The sequence below is a fragment of the Homo sapiens genome, chromosome 2, assembly GCF_000001405.40.
Source record: "Homo sapiens chromosome 2, GRCh38.p14 Primary Assembly".
NCBI lineage: Eukaryota > Metazoa > Chordata > Mammalia > Primates > Hominidae > Homo > Homo sapiens.
This window is the reverse complement of record NC_000002.12, coordinates 219,865,525-219,871,177: the sequence shown is the minus strand read 5'-3', so window position 1 is coordinate 219,871,177 and position 5,653 is coordinate 219,865,525.

The following is a 5,653-nucleotide window of genomic DNA, read 5'->3' as shown; positions in this document are numbered from 1 at the left end:
CCTCATAACTGTGAAGACTTATTCAGAGACTTACCACTCCTCAGTGACAAGATCTTACACCACTCCAGCCTGCAGAGCAGCCAGTGACAAAACTGGGGAAACCAAGCTAAGCCAAACTGCTAAAAATAAGAAGCTAGAAGGTGACAGAGTGGAGACTGGAGTCCAGTGGGGATGCTTACCAAATTGACCCCTTGGAACAGTAACGGTGCACAGCTCTCTTGTATCCTGATGAAAAGCTGTAATAGACAACCCCCTGACTTGCTTTGCCTAGTTTTCAGTGGTGTCCCATGGAAAACTAAAGGAGGAGGAAGACCCACAGGTTCCAGAAGTATTTCTGGACAACTCGGAGAGAATGAGAGATAAAAGGCCCTAGACTGGCAGCATCAGGAGAAAGGAGCTGAATCTCCCTTCCCAGATATAAATCAAGAAGCTGAGCTAAACAGAGGTCAGTACCTCTCCTAGTCCCTGCATGCCAGGGGCACACCAGGGGGTTCTCATGAGCAGCCCATCTCAGTATCTCTCATACTTCCTAAAGGAGTCTCAGTCTTTCTGCTTCTAACCCAAAGAAGAAGAAATCCTGAAAAAAGCATTGCTAACTTCTGCTCCCATGAGTTAGAAGTGACTACGACATTCCATATCTTTCTCACTGAGAAGTCTGTGGCCCTTAAATCTTTCCAGTCCAACAATGAACACCCCTCAATTACATTAGATACATGCTATAATCCTTCCCACTAGCGAGATAAAGATTCATGCGTGGTGCACTCCCCAAGAGTCATTCCCAGCCCCTTCCTTCCTTGCTGGCAGATGCTGGAATATTCTCCAGATGTTTGCAGCAACCCTCCCTTCCTACCCTGTGTCTTCAGCCAAGGACACCCCCTCCCGTCCCAAGGGTAAATATTAAATGTTAATTTATTTAAGCCAATCCTGTTGATTCCATTCACTTGCCAGTGATAGATACAGACCTAGGCCTGTGATGTAACCCTGACCCTTAAGATACAGGGATGAGAGAGTTGCGAGTCATTGGGAAAGTTTCCAGTGCTCTAAAAAGAGGGCAAAAGCCTGGGACTTTGGCCTCTTCCTGCATTTGAATATAGGCAATGCTTTGAGCTGTGGCAGACACTAGTAAAACCAAGAAAAAGCCAAGGAAATTACAAGAGGCCAGCAGAAGCCTGACATCCCTGCACTGCTGAAGCTACCACCTCTCGAGTCACCTGCTGTGGTCTTCTTGTTAGGTGAGATAATGGTATTTTTATTATTGTTTAGGCCATTTTTATCTGGATGTCCTGACACTTGTAAACAAAATGGTCCTGCTATACCTCCTTGTTTTTTGGGGACAGAATCTCAATTTTGTTTGGGTAACCTATACCCCAATTAAACTAACGTGATAAGCTAAACTAATGGTGGAAGCTCCATTTCCTTACCAGAGATTGGTTTAGGGTGCAAATGTGACCTAAATCTTCCAATGAAATGGAAGTAGAAGTTTCTGTGGAGGCTTTTAAGAGGTTTCTTGTTTAGGAGAGAAAACAAGGAACAGGGATTTTTCTTTCCCTGCTGATATGGGTTGGCTGTGTCTCCACCCAAAATCTCATCTTGAATTATAATCCCCATCATCCCCATTGTCAAGGGAGAGATCAGGTCGAGGTAACTGAATCATGGGGGTGGTTTCCCCCATGCTGTTCTCCTGATAGTGAGTGAGTTCTCATGAGACCTGATGGTTTTATAAGGGGATCTTCCCCCTTTGCTCGGCACTTCCCCTTCCTGCCACCTTGTGAAGAAGGTGCCTTACTTCCCCTTTGCCTTCTGCCATGATTGTAAGTTTCCTGAGGCCTCTCCAGCCATGTGGGACTGTGAGTCAATTAAACCTCTTTCCTTTATAAATTGCCCAGTCTCAGGTACGTCTTTGTAGCAGTGTGAAAACAGACTAATACACCTGCTGAATGTCCTCATGCTTGGATGTCACATACACGGAGCTGCAGCAGCCATCTTGAAACCATGAGGGGCACTGGTCTGAGGAAAAAGTTAATGTGTTGAGGTTGGTGAATCTTTATTGTTAAAGGGATTTCAAGTTGGGTTTTCTATTATACAGCCGAGTAATGATAATCTTTAGCCTTATAGTTCAGGAATGGATTGCTTATAGTTATCTATCCAGTCACTTGCCTTCCCAATACTCTTGGGTAGAAGAGGAAGGGGTAGGTAGTACAGCAGCCTAATAAAAGGAACTTAACACTTGTATCCTATCCAGACCGCAGGAGTAGTGGGTGCCAGTTAAGGATGTGCCATGAATACTTGTGGCAATGACAAATTACTGTGGAGCCTGTGAGTTTTTATTTTATTATGACTTCCGTTTTCTTTTAATTTAATCACCACTAAATTTTTTATAAGGAAGAAGGAAAGCAAGGGCAGATTAAGAGAGCCTGTAAAATGCATTACATCTTTAAAACATGGATTTCATTACTCACATGCTTGTAAAATGCTTTCATGAATATCAAGTCTCTTCACACTCCTCCCCCACCAAAAACAGAAAAGAAAATGAGAAAAAGGAAATGGTTGTGGTTCTATTTGCTTTATTTTCCTGCAAAATGCTTTGAATCCTGTGAAAACCTAGGTGGACTTATTGGCATGTATACTGTGTCTGACCATTATCTAGGGTGGGTGTTGGGGCAGAACATGGCCAAAGGCCACTGCCCCACCTGTGACCAAACAACCACTCCAACCATGGCTGCTACCTGTTGGGCTCTAACTAGAGGCATCAAATGCTTCTAGGCTGCACAGTCAAAGACAAGGTTGAGGAAATTATAATTAACAGGGGCTTGAGTGGCTGCCATTGATCGTCAACAAATATAGTTTTGCCAGATAGATATAATCAGCTCAATAAGAAATTTATTTTGTGATCCTTTATCTTCTTTCCCAAACAGAAAAAAAAAATCATCTTCACAAACTAGTTTATTATTTGGACTAGATTGACTAATGTGGTTTGGGCCTATAGGGGCTTGTACAGCTGATTTCCAGGTGATCAAAGGGGTTCTAATAGAGAAAATATATATATATATATATATAATATATATGTATATGTATGTGTATAAAATATGAATATATATTTACTGTATTAGTGTATTCTCCAAAGAATGCCAAGAGGTGCCAGCAGCCACCACACTGCTGATAAAGACATACCCAAGACTAGGTAATTTATAAAGAAAAAGAGGTTTAATGGACTCACAGTTCTGCATGGCTGAGGAGGTCTCACAATTGTGGCAGAAGGTGAAAGGCACATCTTACATTGCAGCAGACAAGAGAGAATGAGAACCAAGCAAAAAGGGAAACCTCTTATAAAACCATCAGATCTTGTGAGACTTATTCACTACCATGAGAACAGTGTGGGGGAAACCACTCCCATGATTCAATTATCTCCCAGAGCATCCCTCCCACAACACGTGGGACTTCTGGGAGCTATAATTCAAGATGAGATTTGGGTGAGGACACAGCCAAACCATATCTGTATGTGTGTATGTATGTATAAAACAACTGCCTTAGAAGCAAAAGAGTGCATTCTTTTGAGAGACAATATATAATGTAGTAGAGTACAAAGATCAAAAGATTTGTTGTGGTTCTGACTGTATTATTAAGGACCTATATGTCTTGGGCAAGTCATTTTGCCTCTCTGAATCTCATGACGCAGTTTTTTGTGTTCTCCAAAAAAAATATGTCCAAGTCCTAATTCCTGGTATTGAGAGCATGACCTTATTTGGAAATAGGGTCGCTACAGATGTAATGAAATTAAGGATCTCAAGATCATTCTGGAAAGCTGGGCCCTAAATCCAATGATTGCTGTCTTTATAAGAAGAAATAGAGGGAGACATGAAGACAGAGATGAGAGTGATGCATCTACAAGCCAAAGAATGCTAAGGGCTGTCGGCAGCCAGCAGAAGCCGGGAGAAAGGCATGATACAGATTTTCCATCAGAGCCTCCAAAGGAACCAGCTCTGCCAACACCTTGATTTCTGACTCTGGCCTCCAGAACTGTGACAGAATATACTTTGTTGTTTTTAGCCATCCAGTTTGTGGTACTTTGTTACAGCAGCCTTAAGAAACTGAGAGATTTTCCAGTTCAGAGGTTACACCTGAAAGCATTGGATTGATTACAATCATCTTTCTCCACTGTGCGATTTTGGGTGGAATTGCAGGGAAATTAAATTTACCTAAAAAATAAAGACATCTGAATCCTTTGTTTTGGAATTAGAGAAATGGTGCTCAAAGTCTCAAATTCTTTTTCTTTTCTTTTTTCATCTGGATGAGGCATTAAAGCACTCAAGAAAGGGCTGTTTAAAAAATATTCTCAGCCTGTCAAAAATAAAAGTGATATAAATCTAAGAGGAAGATCTGTAATTTGACCAGGGTAATTGGGGCCTGCATTTACATTGTTGATGAGATTCTAATAAAACTTCATTTTACTGGGACACAGAGAATAAAGAAATCAAAAGGGATGATTATTTCAGCAAAACTGGTTTTGTCTTTTAAAGTTTCTCTTAAAATATAAGGGCTTTAACTCAATAATAAATCTTGTATTCAAGTTGATGGACAGCTAACACTCAAATATACCACTGCATTTATTCATCCATTCACTTATTCATTCAACCACAACTATACATTGAATCTTCATCATGAACCAGGAGCTAAGCTTCGGGCTGGGGATAAATAGGAGACCAGAGCAGAGAGACCCTAACTGATAGAGTTAGAATCTAGAGGGAGGTAGTAGTGGGGGAGGCAAGGGGAGACAGAAAATAAGCAAGTAAACCAACAAATATATAATTACAAGCTGTGATCAGCTCTATAAAGTAAATAATGTAGGGTCAGACAATGATAACAGGGGGGCCAGTCCCAGTGGCCCACACCTGTAATCCCAGCACTTTGGGAGGCTAAGGTAGGAGGATCGCTTGAGCCCAGGAGTTCTAGACCAGCCTGGGCAACATAGTGAGACCCTGTCTCTACAAAAAAATAATAATAACAGGGAATCTGAGATATGAGAGGGTTTTTCTCTGCATGCAGTATGGAAGCTGATGATATTTAAGGTCTGAAGATACAAAGGAAGCACCCAGGCAGGGAGATGGGAAAGGGGAACATTCCAGGTGAAGGGAACAACATGTAAAAGCCCAGTGTGGAAGAAAGAAGCCAGTGGGCCCAATGACCTGAAAGGTGGCCCACGTGGATAGCGCAGGGTTGGGGGGAAAGAGGTACAAAATGATGCTGGAGAAGTAAGCAGAGGCTAGATCTTGCAGGACCTTGAAGGCCATGATAACATGTTTGGGTTTTATTAGCAATTTATGTTTAAAATTAAAAATATATATATTCCAGAGGCTGTGTAGAGAACAGATTGGAAAGGGTCAGGAATATGTGTGGGAGATGATTAGGAGGCTCTGGCTGTGATCCAAGAGAGAAATGACAGGGCCTGGACAAGGTGGTAACAATGCAGATGGATGGAAGTGGATGGACTGAGAGGCATCTCCACTGCATGGCAGCTAGGAACAATTGCTTCAATCCACTGTGTGTTCACTTAGGAGGCAGTCAGACTGTCCTCTGGGTGACAGCACCAAAGAGAGAGGTCCAAGCAGTTAGCCCCTGATACGCTTTTAATCCAAATAGTCTAGAAGGGAAAAGA